Source organism: Homo sapiens, chromosome 1, assembly GCF_000001405.40.
Source record: "Homo sapiens chromosome 1, GRCh38.p14 Primary Assembly".
Classification (NCBI taxonomy): domain Eukaryota; kingdom Metazoa; phylum Chordata; class Mammalia; order Primates; family Hominidae; genus Homo; species Homo sapiens.
Genome location: NC_000001.11, coordinates 33,454,601 through 33,470,155, shown reverse-complemented (window position 1 = coordinate 33,470,155; position 15,555 = coordinate 33,454,601). Strand labels below are relative to the sequence as shown.

The 15,555-nt window shown below is 48.8% G+C and overlaps 1 pseudogene, besides 6 other annotated features; it reads right to left on the bottom strand.

Annotated features, from left to right (window-relative positions):
- Positions 938 to 1,462: an enhancer, noted in NCBI's record as "H3K4me1 hESC enhancer chr1:33934295-33934819 (GRCh37/hg19 assembly coordinates)". NCBI's record gives its function as "activates a minimal SCP1, AML or CMV promoter by ChIP-STARR-seq in naive H9 embryonic stem cells {active_cell/tissue: H9 hESC(naive)}" and the evidence as "EXISTENCE:reporter gene assay evidence [ECO:0000049][PMID:30033119]".
- Positions 1,181 to 3,907, bottom strand: TLR12P (toll like receptor 12, pseudogene; annotated as a pseudogene).
- Positions 1,463 to 1,989: an enhancer, noted in NCBI's record as "H3K4me1 hESC enhancer chr1:33933768-33934294 (GRCh37/hg19 assembly coordinates)". NCBI's record gives its function as "activates a minimal SCP1, AML or CMV promoter by ChIP-STARR-seq in naive H9 embryonic stem cells {active_cell/tissue: H9 hESC(naive)}" and the evidence as "EXISTENCE:reporter gene assay evidence [ECO:0000049][PMID:30033119]".
- Positions 7,057 to 7,106: a silencer, noted in NCBI's record as "silent region_625". NCBI's record gives its function as "represses an Ori minimal core promoter by ATAC-STARR-seq in GM12878 lymphoblastoid cells {active_cell/tissue: GM12878}" and the evidence as "EXISTENCE:reporter gene assay evidence [ECO:0000049][PMID:35858748]".
- Positions 9,064 to 9,143: an enhancer, noted in NCBI's record as "active region_709". NCBI's record gives its function as "activates an Ori minimal core promoter by ATAC-STARR-seq in GM12878 lymphoblastoid cells {active_cell/tissue: GM12878}" and the evidence as "EXISTENCE:reporter gene assay evidence [ECO:0000049][PMID:35858748]".
- Positions 9,264 to 9,313: an enhancer, noted in NCBI's record as "active region_708". NCBI's record gives its function as "activates an Ori minimal core promoter by ATAC-STARR-seq in GM12878 lymphoblastoid cells {active_cell/tissue: GM12878}" and the evidence as "EXISTENCE:reporter gene assay evidence [ECO:0000049][PMID:35858748]".
- Positions 14,789 to 15,288: an enhancer, noted in NCBI's record as "H3K4me1 hESC enhancer chr1:33920469-33920968 (GRCh37/hg19 assembly coordinates)". NCBI's record gives its function as "activates a minimal SCP1, AML or CMV promoter by ChIP-STARR-seq in naive H9 embryonic stem cells {active_cell/tissue: H9 hESC(naive)}" and the evidence as "EXISTENCE:reporter gene assay evidence [ECO:0000049][PMID:30033119]".

Below are 15,555 nucleotides of genomic sequence, written 5' to 3'. Positions count from 1 at the left end.
TAATACATCCAAAACCCTTTGAGGGAGAGTCTAACACTATCCCATATTACAGAAAAGGAAACTATGGTATAGAGAGGTTAAATAACATGCTAACGGCACGTGGCTAAAAAAGCAGGCAGTCTAGCTTCAGAATAAGGTAAGATTTTTAAAAAATAGAAATAGAAGTTATAACAGTTTCTTTGCAACCATAGTGTGATAATCTTGTGCACTCAGCTTTGGAGACCACTATTTCTGTGGCTTTCAGGCCTGTGATCAGTCCTTTGAGAAAGGGAGGTGCAGGAAATTGTGGGAGCCCAGGGGCAACAGTTATCTAGGCTGGGAGATCAGGAAAGGCTTCTGAAGAAAGTGATGGCTGAACTGCATCTTAAATAATACTTAAGAGTTCCCCAGGGAAAAGGTATTTTTCAGTGCAAGAACAGCATATGCAATGGCCCAGAGACAAAAGGTGTGATGATGTCCTGGGACCCACAGGTAGTCTAGCATAGTCAGAGTACAGAGTGACAAGGGGGTAGGCTTCTCCTCCCAGTGTTGCTATGAGGCTTAACTGGAGATAGATGGGAACAGGCCTTCATGTTTTTTATTGAGGGAACAGGCAATCAGTCTGCTGTCTCCTGGGCAGCATCCCAGCTTTTTGATCCTTAGCTGCCAATCCCTCTATAACCCAGATGGCAAAAGGGGTCCCTTGGCCCCTTGAAGATCTGGTTGAACTTGACCTGGACCCCATTCCACAGCTTAGGACTGGCCAAAGGCTTCTCTCTTTGCCCTCTCTCTCCATGAATTTCCAACCTTATTTCCTCTGGACTACAGTTTCTGTGAATCCAACCCTTTCACCTTCTGCCTCATTGTACTCCAGCCCGGACAACAAGAGCAAAACTGCATCTCAAAAAAAAAAAATTCAATCAAGCCAAGCATTCATGGATTTAGTACATTTATTGAGGGTTTGGAGATCTTGAGATTACATTACGTACCACATGGCCACCTGCCATCTCCCAGATTTTCTTATTCAGCCTCCAGAGCCTTCCCAAAGCCTGTGTTCCCATTTGATTCTCCCTTGCACACACAGTAGCCCCACCTTCTACTAAAAACTGAGTTCAGTCTCATAGCCCACACATACTCACTATCTCCCTGCCAAGCTGGCTTGCTTTTCTTACCCCCACCTTCCAACACACACGCACCCATTCTACCCTACCCCAGGGTGCTCCAGCCTGCTCCCTAACCAAGCCCAGAAGTCATTCTTTCTTTCCTCTTCCTTGGGCCACATGCAATAGTCTCTTCAGCGGAGCAACCAGGCCAATCTGTGGCAGCAAGGGAGCTAGTGGCGTAAGATGGGCTCCAGGAAGACCAGCAGTAGCCCTTGGGGGGTGGGGGACAGCCAGCAGAAAGGAGGTGGCCAGGAGGAGCTCCAGGCATCAGCAGGGGGTGTGCAGGGCCTGGTGACTCAGCACACAGAGCGTGACCCAGCTGCCCACCATGCTGTCTGCTGCATTGTCAGCCACATCCTTGCCTGGCTCAAAATCCCACTCATGGAGGCAGAGTGGCAGCCCCCGGCCAGCTGGAGGGCAGTCCTCTAGAGCAGGCAGCAGCTCCTGCACCATCCAGCCCTGGTCTTGCCTGCAGTGGGACACAAACACGTCATAGAGGAACCTCTTGCCTTTACCCTTCTGACTCCTCAGACTCTGGAACCAAACCCTGAGCAAGGCCTTGAGTTAGAGGATCCAGGAATTCCTGGCTTCCTTTAGGAAGGGCAAGGAGACCAGCAGAAGCAGCAGGGCAGAGCTGCGCAAAAAAGAGCTCCAACCCCAAAGTCTTGGGGCAGTGGCTCCAGAGAAAAGGGAAAAAGAGATTCTTTGAGTGGCCCCCAGCTTCTGAATGGCACAGCTGCTGTGATACTATGTGCATGTATGTTCTGGGGGACTGCTAAAGCCAGGGCCCCACGCAGGCATTGGCACACTGGCAGGCCAAGGATGAGGTCAGAATATAGATGTACTGGGGCATCCGAGGACTGTGCTCCTGGAGGCTGTCATCCAGCATGAAGTCTTTCTCCCTGTCTAGTACTAAGACCTGGAGACTGCCGAGGCCCCCAAAAGCAGCAGCAGACAGTGTCTCCAACCCTGTTTGGGACAGCTGCAGCATATCAAGCCTGGGCAACTCACCCACCAGCTCCTCAAGCCGCACTGGGCAGGGGCATGCTTGAGACTGCAGTGCCTGCAGCTTCAGCTCCTGTAGACTGGGCAGTCCCGTGATGCAGTAGGGCCTAGGGCTATGCCTGTTTCCCCATCCTTCAAGGACTTGAGCTTCGGGAGCTGCCAGAGGAAGAAGCTGGAGGTGTCCTGGGAACAGAGGGGCTCCAACCTACTGCCAAGCAGGGAGAGTTGATGAAGGGCAGGGAAGATCTTGGAGATATTCTGGGTCTCTAGCTGCAGTCCCCAGCCCTTTAAAGTCAGGATCTGCAAGACTGGAAAGACATTAGGAGACAACCTCCAATGCTTCATGCCTGAAACTGCGTGGAGCTCCAAGCTAGTCAGTCTTGTGAGCAGGGAAAATGCTACTCCCGCAGGGCCAAAGGGAAACTGTATTCTCAAGCTGTGCAGACTTTCTGGGCCCCGGAAGCCCCAGGTTGGGCTCAGCACCATGTGAGTACCTACCAGGTTTTGGGTGGTCAGTGTAGGCAGAGGAGCCAGCCAGCCCTCACCCAGGGTTACCAGTGGATTATTGCCCAAGTTCAAGGTCTGTAGCCTCTGTAGGCCCTGGAATACCTGGTCTTTCAAGCAAACCAGTTGGTTCCCTTGAAGTAGCAGCTCCCGCAGGTGGGGCAAACAGGAGAAGATGACTGGGGACAGGGTACACAGCCTATTCTTGGACAGATCCAGGGCCCACAATCCTGACACAAACCCTGTCTCATTCATACACAACATGGCGCTCCTCAGTTGGTTGTTGGCCAGGTTCAGTCTCTGAAGCCTGGGCATGGCAGCCAGGAAACCTCGTGGTAACTCAATCAGGCCATTGCTCCGAAGACCCGAGCTCTTCAGGCTGTGACAGGAAGCCAGGCCTTCCAGGGCTATGTGCCTTGTCCGATTAATCCCCAAATTCAGCTCCTGAAGCTCAAAATGGGCAACCATCCTGGCAGGCAGCTCAGCCATGTCAGTGAGTGTCACAGGGCATCCAATCTCTGCAGCCCCCGTCCCACCAGTGCATCTGCCTTCATCTTTGTGTGGTCCAGATTCAGAGTCCCCAGCTTGAGGACCTGGAAGGCTCCAGGACTGGCCAGCTTCAGCCTACTATTGAATGACAGGTCCAACATGTCCAAGGCCCAGGCATCCCCAGAGGAGGGGCCATGCACCAGATCTGGGAAGATATCAGCCAGCACCCCCACATTCTGAAGGAAATTACACCTGATCGACAGCCATCACAGACTGGGAGGCAACCGGACACCCAAGCTCCCATCCAGGCAGGAACCCAAGAAAGCAAGGTCCTGGAGGGATCTCAGGTCACCAAAGGCATCAGCGGTAGGAAGATTAATGCTCCCACGGTGGGAGCTATGAAAGACATAATGCAGCTGCCCCAACCCCCAGAGAGCTCCTGGCAGGAGCTGGGTGAGATGCAGATTCAGCCCCAGGACCTTGAGCCCAGGAAAGCGGGAGAAGGCATCCTGAGGCAGAGCAGAAGTGGAACCAGATTGACAGAGACCCTCCACGTTCTGCAGCACAGTTTCCAAGGCCCGCACCAAGTTGATCACTGAGAGGCATGTGGTGAGGAAAGGCAGGCTGGAGTCCAAGAGGCAAATCAGGAAGAAGCGGGAGACCATAGACAGCCGGGAGCCTTCAGTCACTAAACTATTGGAGATGGTCCAGCCTGCGGTCAGAGGAAGGGACAGGAGCAGACCAGGCAACAGCAAGTGCCTGTCCATCTCAGCACCAAGTCTAGTCCACAGAGAAGCAGAATCAGAATCCCACTCTATCCCCTTCCCTTTTCCAGACCCTATCCTCCCCCTCCAAAATACACATACACAATACTCACAACAGTGAAAAGATACACGGCCCCCAGTGTGCCACGGTCAAAGGACCAACAGTAGAACTGCTAGGGAGTTGAATGGAAGAGTGGGACAAGGAGATACTTATAGCTGAGGTTCCAAGGGTCAGGAAAAAGAAGAAGCAGACTAATGGTGAGATGGGGTCCCGGTCTCACTTCTCTGTTTTAAGGAAGCAAGCAGGCTGGGCGAGGTGGCTCACGCCTGTAATCCCAGCACTTTGGGAGGCCAAGGCGGGCAGATCACCTGAGGTCAGGAGTTCGAGACCAGCCTGGCCAACATGGTGAAACCCCATCACTACTAAAAATACAAAAATTAGCCAGGTGTGGTGACAGGCTCCTGTAGTCCCAGCTACTCGGGAGGCTGAGGCAGGAGAATCGCTTGAACCCAGGAGGCAGAGGCTGCAGTGAGCAGAGACCATGTCACTGCACTCCAGCCTGGGCAACAGAGTGAAACTCCATCTAAAAAAAAAAAAAAAAAAGGAAGCAAGCACTGTTTCTGAGCACAAGACTTGGGATCACAGGTCTAGGAACCACTCTGTCATTATTCTGGGCACGGTACTTCACCTCTCTAAACTTCAGTTTCCTCATCTGTAAAATAAATATACTACTGCCTGCTTCATAAGATTGCTGCAAATGACACATGGATGTCAGAATGGGCTTTCACTCCTCATCATCCCTCATTACTACTTGCTCTCCTTACTCCTAACAGAAAGTGGGAAGAAATCAGGGTTTTCTAAAAAGCAGAAGTCTTGTAAGCAAAATAATACATCGAAATGTTGCTCTCTTGGATATCTTGCAGTGTTCCAAATGGAAGATTCCAAAAAGCCCAAACTTCAGAAGACTATAAGGCTCCATTCCTGCTCTTCCAGGCTGCAGCAAGGAAGGAAGGGCCCTGTATTGGGCCATTATTTGCGTTGGTATAAAGGAATACCGAAGACTAGGTAATTTATAAAGAGGATTTATTGGCTCATGGCTCTGCGGGCTGTATAAGAAGCATGGCACCAGCATCTGTTCAGCTTCTGGTGAGGCCTCAGGAAGCTACATTTTCACAGGCAAAGGGAAAGCAAGAGTGTCACATGGCAACACTGGGAGCGAGAGAGAAGGGAGAGACGCCACATGCTTTTTTTTTTTTTAACTTTTATTTTAAGTTCAGGAATAGTTGTGCAGGTTTGTCATATAGGCAAACTGGTGTCATGGGAGTTTGACGTACAGATTATTTCATCCTCCAGGTATTCAGCCTAGTACCCATTAGTTATTTTTCCTGATTCTCTCCCTCCTCCCACCACCAACCCCCCACTCAACCCGCCAACCCTCAGGTAAGCCCCAGTGTCTGTTGTTTCCCTCTATGACCACACACTTGTAAAGAACTAGATCTCAGTCAACTTAGAGCGAGAATTCACTCATCACCCAGGGGATGATGGTAAACTATTCATGAGGGGCCTTCTCCCACAATTCAATCACCTCCCAGGGGTGAAAAAAAAAAACAACTTGAGATTCTTCAGCCACAGTTATAAAAGCTCCCTAGCTTTTAGGTAAACACTTTAGTTGAGGAGTTATGATATGAACCTATACAGTATAACTAGAAGCAACCATCCTGCCTCATGGCCCCTTGAAATCTTTGTGGCCCTCAGATTACCTTACAGCGATGGCCACTCTGCCTCTTAGAGGCTTGCTTTCAAGGGGCACTTCATTCCAGGTGACTAGAAATTTTAACTTGGTTCTTTCACCAGTGTATGCTCAATATGTCAGAATCCCACTGTCTGACGCTGGATTTTCACTGCCCTCAGTCCCAACAGGCCCAAATAACCAATCCTCAGATTCCCCCTCTTTTCCTGAGGGTCTCTTGTCCACAACCATTTCTTGTACAAATTTCTACATCAGTCAGGGTTTTGTTATATGCAACAGAAACTGATTCTAACTGATTAAAGCAGAAAAGGAACTTGTGAAAAGGATTTTGGGGTATCTCATGGAATCGTCAGATGCAGGGCAGCCAAAGTGATGGTAAATACCCACTAGTCTGTATGAAACTTACTGAGTTTATGATACATGTCTAGAACTGTGTGGTTAGGGGAGAATGCGTGTTACCCACTTCTGATGTTTTCTTCCATGTGAAGGGACATCCGTTAGTATAACCCTCTAGTTTGTCTTCACCCCTTCACAACTCCTCTGGGAGGAAGTGGGACTTATATTCTTGATGAGTTTATGGAAGAAGATGGGCATATGTAGCTCCTTTCCCTTTGGGAGTACCTTTTATTCTATTCTATTCTATTTTATTTTTGAGACAGGGTCTTGCTCTGCTGAAGTGCAGTAGTGCAGTCATAGCTCACTACAGCCTCAAACTCCTGGGCTTAAGCCATCCTTCTGCCTCAGCCTCCAGAGTAGCTGGGATTACAGGCCTGCACCACCATGCCTGGCTAATTTTTATATTTTTAGTAGAGACGGGGTTTCACCTTGTTGGCCAGGCTGGTCTCGAACTCCTGACCTCAGATGATTCACCTGCCTCAGCCTCCCAAAGTGCTGGGATTACAGGAGTGAGCTACCATGCCCGGCCTGGCTTTTACTTATTTTAAAGTGAGAAGAGTGGAATTTGCAGTCAAGCAGAAAGGAAGGAAATACTTGAATGGGACTGCCTCATTCTCCTTGTAATGGTAGCCAGGAGATTGATTTGCTTTACCCTAATTTCCCAAGTGAGGGGTGTAGGGGAATGCAGTGTTTGATGGGAAATCCTTTGGGACTCCTGTTCATGTTTCTTTCCTTTCCCCAGTCATACCCTTCAGAGGTCTGAGACTTACAGACTGCCTGAGCCATAAAAGCCCTCTGAGTTCATCTAGTCCAACGCCTTCCTTTTCATATGGGAAAACTGAGGCCCAGACAGAAGAAGGGGATTTTCCAGGGCCAAGCAGAAGGCAGGTGGCAGAGCTGGAATGAGAACCCAGGGTCATGGTCAGGCTGGGTGGGGATGGAGTGTCAGCATAGCAGCAAATAGATCCACCCTCAAACTTGAGAGGCCAAATGTAGCCCTTAGAGCCCAGAAGACCCACCTGTAGCCCCCTTGCCCATCGCTCCCCACACACACCCAGAGGACTAGGTTTGCACCATCCCCACCCGAGGCTAGCGTGAGAAGTTTACAGAAGGAGGCTGAGGTCAGATCAATTCTCATGCTGCAGTCTGGCCAGGGCTGCCCAGAGAGAACTGTTCTGGAAAGAAAGAGAACTGAGAAACCAGCATTGCAAATAAACAAAATAATAAATTGAATGAAATGAAAACAGACATCTTTGCTTTGGTCCGGGCCACCTTCTGGAGGGCCCTTTCTCTTTCTGTCTCCATCCACCTGTCTCCCCTCCCTCCAAGCTCAGCGGCTCCTTTCTCCTCACACAGGCTCCGGACCCCCTGTCTCCACCACCCCCTTTTCCATACACTCAGTGCTCCCCAGCCCCACCTAGGCGCTCCTGTCCTCCTGGAGGACAGACTTGTGACCAACCCAAGTGATCACACTTGCTGGGAGTGGTTAACTGGTCAGCAGATATAATCCCTACTCATAACAAGTGCTTAGCAATGTCATCGCATACCCATATTAGGATTCTAAATAAAGAGAAGAAACTGTTCATCCACAGCTCCACCACCAATTCAAATGGTTTTCATGGGCCTGAGTTCACTTCAGTCCTTGTCCCACCACTAAATATTTTTCATAAAACTATCATTTTTTGCACCTTCCTATGTGCCAGACAGCTTGATAAGCACTTTTTTTTTCTTTTTTTCTTTTTTTTTTTTTTTTTTTTGAGATGGAGTCTCTCTCTGTCACCCAGGCTCTGGAGTGCAGTGGCATGATCTCAGGTCACTGCAAGTTCCACCTCCCGGGTTCACACCATTCTGCCTCAGCCTCCCAAGTAGCTGGGACTACAGGCGCCCACCACCATACCTGGCTAATTTTTTTGTATTTTTAGTAGAGACGGGGTTTCACCTTGTTAGCCAGGATGGTCTTGATCTCCTGACCTCGTGATCTGCCTGCCTCGGCCTCCCATGCACTTTTTTATGTATTTATTTTTATTTTGAAACGGAGTCTCACTCCGTTGCCCAGGCTGGAGTGCAGGGGTGAGATCTCGGCTCACTGCAGCCTCTGCCTCCCAGGTTCAAGCGATTCTCCTGCCTCAGCCTCCCGAGTAGCTGGGACTACAGGAGCCTGTCACCACACCTGGCTAATTTTTGTATTTTTTGGTAGAGATGGGGTTTCAACATGTTCAACATGTTGGCCAGGCTGGTCTCGAACTCTTGATCTCAAGTGATACACCCACTTGGCCTCCCAAAATGCTGGGATTACAGATGTGGGCCACCATGCCCAGCCTGATAAGCACTGTAAACAACATAACCAGAAATGTTTTATTTCCCAGAATTCCCTCTTTTGGCTACCCAGAATTCCTTTTACTAATAAAAATAACTAGCACTTGTTGAGAAGATACTGTCTGCCACCACTACGTTCTCTCCTAATCCTAACCACCCAGTTTTTGTGTGCGTGTTCCCCCTGACCCCAGTTCTCCAGATGAAGAACTGCAGCCCAGGGAAGACCAGTGACTGGCCAAAGTCCTTGAGACAGTTTCTTCCTCTGCAAAAAGTGAGAAAACCTCAGTTATGACTTCCCCATTTGGGCATCCAGGGGTTAGTTGGGGTTTGACTGCAAATTCCTTTGTTGTCATTGCCTTTGTGACTTTGGTGTTTTCAGATGTAATTCCCAAAGAGCCTTGAGGAAAGGGTGCCCTTGTTTCCTGTTATTCCAAACATCATGAGAATAGGCAGAGAGGTCTCAACAAGAGCTGTAGAACAAGGAGATATTTTTATTCATCCACAGAACAAATGGGAATGCAGCCAGGGGCAGCCGGGCAGAACTTTCAGAGATTTCCCTATATATAGACCTGCAGGGAGGCAGCAGCATCAGCCCTTTTGGGGAAGTGAAAGAGGCCAGGCTGAGAGTAACCCAATTACTCTATTGTCTGAGTTGGGGTTCCTTTTCTGTCCAGAAATAGAAATTCAGACTACCCAGGCAGAATTTGTTGGGAGGGTGTGTGGGTGTTCACGGAACCCTAAATCAGCTGGGCCTGGAGAAGGACTGAAGCCAGGGAGTGGAGCCATCAGCCAGGCCATAGTTTCACTGTCTCATCTCCGCTTCAACCTTCTCTTCTCTCCATAGAAGAGGAACAACAGGTTGAACTAAAGCCAAAAGCCAGCTGAGGTGGGTGCAGAAGCTCCTTTCCTTCCTGATCTAGTCCTACTCATCCCCCACCACCCATCACCCCCTAGACCTGCCTGACCTCCCTTCCCATGTTGATGCTCTCCCCACTCCCAGCCCCCTTGGGATCCACTGTGGGAGCTCAGAGGGAAGGAGAAGCCAGCTAGGAAATCTCTGTCCATGTGATTCCTGCTCTATCCTGTGAGCTTGCTGAGATGCTCTGCCTGGGAATGACGGGGTTCTCGACGGTCCTGGGAAGAGAAGCAAAATATTCTCTCACTCAAGGGAGCAGCAAAACACACCACTCTCCCATCCCCAAAAAGGGCTCGTAGGTTGGACTCTTAGGAGTCATCTGGTCCTGGTTTCTCAAGATCTTTTGTCCTTTTGGCCTGCAGACTTTATTATTTAGAGTCCCCTCTTTAGATCATGTGAACAAGGTCTGTTAGACATTCACTCTGTTCATTTATTCAGGCCACAGCTATTCTGAGCTGGGCACTTCTCAGGCAAAGGCGGCAGAGTGCCTGCTCCTGGTGGATGGGGATGACAAACCTGTAACAAGAGCAGTGACTCAGATGTCTTTTTGTTTCCTCTGCCAGCAAGCCACACTTCCTTTTAACAGGTAAGCAGCTACCATCTGAGCTCTTCACCTGCAAGACTTCAGGAAATCCTACCACGTTCTCATTCCCGAGGATCTCCAAGAATTCTTACAAGTTCCACCAATTCACTGTGGTGTCACTTGTCACCTCTGTCTGCCCCACTAGACCCTGGTCTGGTCTCTGGCAGAGCCTGCCTCTGGACCTTAACTCCCTCATCTGCTGCTTCTAATTCAACTTTGCCCAAACATAAGCATATTTCCAGGGAACACTAGGCTCCCTTCTCGCCTCTGCATTCTCTCCCTAGGTGATCTCATCCAGTCTCATGGCTTTTAAATACCATCTATTTGCCAATAACTTTCAAGTCACTGTCATCAGCACTGACTTTTCCCTGAGCTCCAGACTCATACCCAACTGCCTATTTGTCATCTTCACTTAGAGGTCAAACAAGCAATTCAAAGTTAACTTAGTCAAAGCAAACTCCTGATTTCCAGCCCTGCCGTGTCCATCCCAACCTGCTCCCCTCCAAGTGTCTCCGTATCAGGGGAAGTTTCAGCACACAGCATGACACCATCCACTTAGTTGCTCCATCCACAAACCTGAAACTCATTCCCGATTCCTCTCTTTGCTCATCCCCAGCAGCTAGCCCTGTTGTTGACACCACATCAGGACCTACCCTGAATCTGCCCACATCTGTCTATCTCCATGGCTAGGCTCCTAGGTCACAGGGCCATTAACTCTTGCCTGGATGATGGCAATGGTCTCTTGACTTGTCTCTCTGCTTTCATTCTTGCCCCCTGCAACCCATCCTCCACACAGAATCTCGAGTGAGTTTTTAAAAATATACCATGGCTGGGCGCAGTGGTTCATGCTGGTAATCCCAGCACTTTGGGAGGCCAAGGTGGGAAGATCACTTGAGGTCAGGAGTTTGAGACCAGCCTGGCCAACATGGTAAAACCCCATCTCTACTAAAAATACAAAAAAAAAAAAAATTAACCGGGTGTGCTGGCAGGCACCTGTAATCCTAGCTACTCAGGAGGCTGAGACACGAGAATTGTTTGAACCTGGGAGGCAGGGATTGAAGTGAGCCAAGATCGCACCATTGCACTCCAGCCTGGGAGACAAAGCGAGACTCTGTCTCAATAAATAAATAAATAAATAAATAAATAAATAAATAAATAAAAATATAAACCATATCACAGCACTCTCTTGCTTAAGCCCTTCAATGGCTTCCCATCACATTTATAATTTTTTTTTGTCTGACCTACAATGCCTTACCTGAGCTGGTTCTCACCCACCATTGAATACCAACCATGCAACTCCCCCCATCTCTCTCTCTCTCTTTCCCAACACACTTGGCCTTCTCTCTGCTGATCAGAAGGGCCACGCCCACCTCCACCTAAGGGCTTTTGCAGTAGCTGTTCTCTTTCCCTGGTAAGCTCTGCCCACCTGTGATGGGTTTTTGCTTTTGTATTCTGGAAGGTTTGTTGTTTGTAGATGTGTCTGTGTGTATGCATGCGTGTGTGTGTGTGTGTGTGTCTGTTTTTACTAACCATGAGTTAATGCTACAAGACTGATGGTTTTAAATATGAGTCACCACGTTAGGAACTTTTGCCTGAGACAAAACAATACTCCCAGGACATTGAGAGGCTCTGTTCTCCCACCCTATTTTCTTAGCAGATAGCATGACTTTGAACCTAAAACAAAATAAAACTCTTTGAAGTCTTTCCAACAATGAAAAGACATAATTTGGTAATAATAACAATAATATGAAAACAAAATAGAATTTAAGACAAATCATTAAGTGATTAAAGAGGATCATGTGGAAATAATAAAAGCTCTATTACTAGAGCCACAAAACACACACATCAAAGCTTTTAGAACTATAAGGAGAAGGTGACAGAAGCACAATTGTAGTTTTTATTTATTCACCCAACAATGTGCCAGGCACTGCGCTAGGTGGTGGGGAATAAGCAGTGAACAAAACATCTAAAATTCCTGAGACTGTGGAGCTTACTTTTAATGGGAGAAAACAGACAATTTTTAAAGTAAATATACAATATATTATATAATCATGAGTTATATGGTGAAAAATAAAGCAATGGGCCGGGCACGGTGGCTCACGCCTGTAATCCCAGCACTTTGGGAGGCTGAGGCAGGCGGATCATGAGGTCAGGAGATCGAGACCATCCTGGCTAACACAGTGAAACCCCGTCTCTTCTAATAATACAAAAAAATAGCTGGGCGTGGTGGCGGGCGTCTGTAGTCCCAGCTACTCGGGAGGCTGAGGCAGGAGAATGGCGTGAACCTGGGAGGCGGAGCTTGCAGTGAGCCGAGATTGCGCCACTGCACTCCAGCCTGGGTGATAGAGCGAGACTCCATCTCAAAAAAAAAAAAAAGAAAGAAAGAAAAATAAAGCAATGAAGGTGGATGGGGAGAAACAAGGGTAGGAATCAAGGTAGAATTTTAAGTAATGTGTCTAAGAAGACCTCTCTAGTGAGGTGACATTTGAACAGAAGCTTGAAGAATGGAGAGGGAACCACCCATCTCTCTGGCAGAGGAAGCAGCAAGTGCAAAGGCCCTAAGGTGGGAGGTGGAAGCCAGGAGGCCAGGGCGGCTAAAGTGGAATGAGCCAGAAGAGGGATAGCGGATGAAATCAGAGACATCTGCAGGGCATAGCCGCTCAGGGTGGCGCCGTAGACTGTTGTCAGGACTCTGGCTTTTATTCTGTATGAGATATGGGGTCATTAGAGGGTTTTCATCAGAGGAGTGACACAAGCCTGTTTATACTATCAAAGAATCATTCGGGCTGCTATGATAAGAGCAGAATTGCTGGGGATAGTGGTGGTTGCATGAGGACAGAAGCAGAGGGATAAGTGAGGAGTTGTTGCATTAAGTCAGGTGTAAGATAATGTGGGCTTGAACCCTGGTGATAGACTTGGGATTAAGAGGTTAAGACATGGTTAAATTCTGGATATATTTTGAAGATGGAACTGACAGCATTGGCTGATGAGTTGGACGTGGGGTGTGAGGAAAGAGAAGTCAAGGATGATGCCAAGACTGTGGGAGAACAGATTTAGAAGAATTAGTTCAACTTTTAAAGTACTCAGTTTAAAATGACTGTTATAGGCCAGGGGTGGTGCCTCATGCCTATAATCCCAGCATCTTGTGAGGCCAAGGCAGGTAAATTGCTTGAGCCCAGGAGTTTGAGACTAGCCTGAGTAACATGGTGAAGTCCCATCTCTACAAAAACATACAAAAATTTTCTGGGCGTGGTGGCACATGCCTGTAGTCCCAGCTACTCAGGAGGCTGAGGTGGGAGAATCACTTGAGCCCAGGAGATAGACCCTGCAGTGAGCTGTGATTGCACCATTGCCCTCCAGCCTGGATGACAGAGTGAGACCCTGTCTCAAAATAAATAAATAAAACAAAACAAAACAAAATGACTATTATATACCAAGTGGCTGTGTCAAATGACGCAAAGTGCTAGGCATAGGAGGCACTTGATACCTGTGTGCACATGTGTGTATGTGTATACATGTATGTGGCACATTTCATATGTGCATGTATGTATGTATGTTGTGGTTAGAACTACGTCCACCTCTTGGTGGCTGTGTGATCTTGGTGAGTCACCCAGCCTCTCTGGAATACAGAGATAACAGAGCCTACTTCACAGGGCATGGCGATTTTAAAACATGTCCACAATTTTTTGATTTTCCCCTTAAAAAACGGTGATGTCCAATTCCTCTCCCTTTGCATACAAGCAGGCCTTAGTGACCGGCTGCTAATGAGTGGAATGCGGCAGAGGTGGTACAAAAAGACTTCCAAGGCCAACTTAGAAAAACTTCCTCCTGGCTCTCACTCTGAGGACACTCGCCCCGGGAACCCAGCCACTATGTTGTGAAAAAGTCCAGGCCACAAGGAGAGGCCACATGGAGGTGTTCTATCTCACAGCACCAGCTAAGGTTCCAGCATCCACTGCCAGACTTGTGAGTGACAGCCCTCAGGTGATTCCAGTTGTCCCAGCAAATGCCAGATGGAGCAGACATGAAATGTTCCTGCCAAGTCCTGCCCAGGTTACAGGTCTGAGGGCAAATGGATGCTGCTCTTTTGGGTTGTGTGTTATACAGCAGTAGGGAGTTGGAACACTGGGAAATTGCTAAAGCATTTTGTACACTGGAAAGCCAGCTACAGAAATGGCTCATTAGTTGGTAGGCATCCTGAGCTACTCACTAGTGACTCCAGTTAAGTCTTCCAGAGCAGAATGTCATCTCAGGCCAGGCTCTGACTCCTTCCAGCACCAGGTGGCACTACAGTCATATCTGGCCCCTTATTTCCTCCTGCCCATCTTATGTCAGATCCTCACGCTCTCTCTCTCTCTCTCTCTCTCTCTCTCTCTACCACAGCATTGAACTTCTTCAACATGCTGCACCCACCTATGCCTCTGTGTCTTTTCTCATACTGTTCCTTCTGTCTAAACCACTTTTTCCTCCGTGGCCCCCCGGACGTCAATTCCCAGCCACCTCCTTCCCTCTCCTCTGGGCCTCACTTCACCCAGTCTCATCTAAAACAGGATCCAAAACCTTCTTGTAGGAAGAGCTTCTTTCCACTTCCCTAAAGGCTTGAGATCTGCGGGGAGGGGAGAGCACTTCCCAGAAATATGCAGGGCACAGTGACTTTTAGCACTGAAGTCCCAGAAGATGGGAGAAGGCGGAGGAGAGGTGGTACCTCCAGTGGCTGATGGAGAGGGAGGAGAGGAGGAGAGGGGAGGAGGGGTCGGGACAATCTGTGGGAGTTTGTGAAAGCAATTTTCAGTAATCAGATCATCTCCAGCCCCCTGGAAAGTGTTCCCACCAAGTTTTGTTTTTTGTTTTGTGTGTGTGTGTGTGTGTTTTTGTTTTTGTTTTTGTTTTGAGATGGAGTCTCGCTCTATCACCCAGGCTCAAGTGCAGTGGCACGATCTCGGCTCACTGCAACCTCTGCCTCCTGGGTTCAAGTGATTCTCATGTCTCAGCCTCCCAAGTAGCTGGGATTACAGGTACCTGCCACCACGCCCGGCTAATTTTTGTATTTTTTTTCTTTTTTATTTATTTTGTTTGGTAGAGACATGGTTTCACCATGTTGGTCAGGCCGGTCTCAAACTCCTGACCTCAAGTGATCTGCCCGCCTCGGTCTCCCAAAGTGCTGCAATTATAGGTGTGAGTCACCCACCAAGTTTATCCCAGGGCATGTCTCACTTATGCTAAAAGCAAGTCCATTCCCACAGTAGCCCCACTGCCTTGCTGACCCCCAGGGTCTCTCCACACTCCTCTGTGGAGCTTATCCACCCTTCTGAGCCTGATTTCACACAGCTGCTCCTGCAAGGCACAGCTGATCTCTGCAGATGCCTGCAGCCATGCTGCCAGGGAGCCCAGGCAGTATGCTGCTCCCACTCTGCTGCTGGGCAGAGCATGCACAGCTGCCACTTCCTGCTGCTCCATGGGGTGCCTGGTCCTTCACCTGCCAGACCTCACAGCTCTCCGAGCCCCCAAGATGGTGCGTAGTGCCAGGAAGCAGAACAGGGGAGAATGGCTCTGCATTTGTTTTCCAGGGCTGCGGTAACAAAGTTCCACTCCCTGGGTGGCTTAAATAACAGAAATGTATTCTCTCACAGTTTGGAAGGCTGGAAGTCTGAGATCAGGGTGTCAGAAGGCTCGGTTCCTTCTGGGGGCT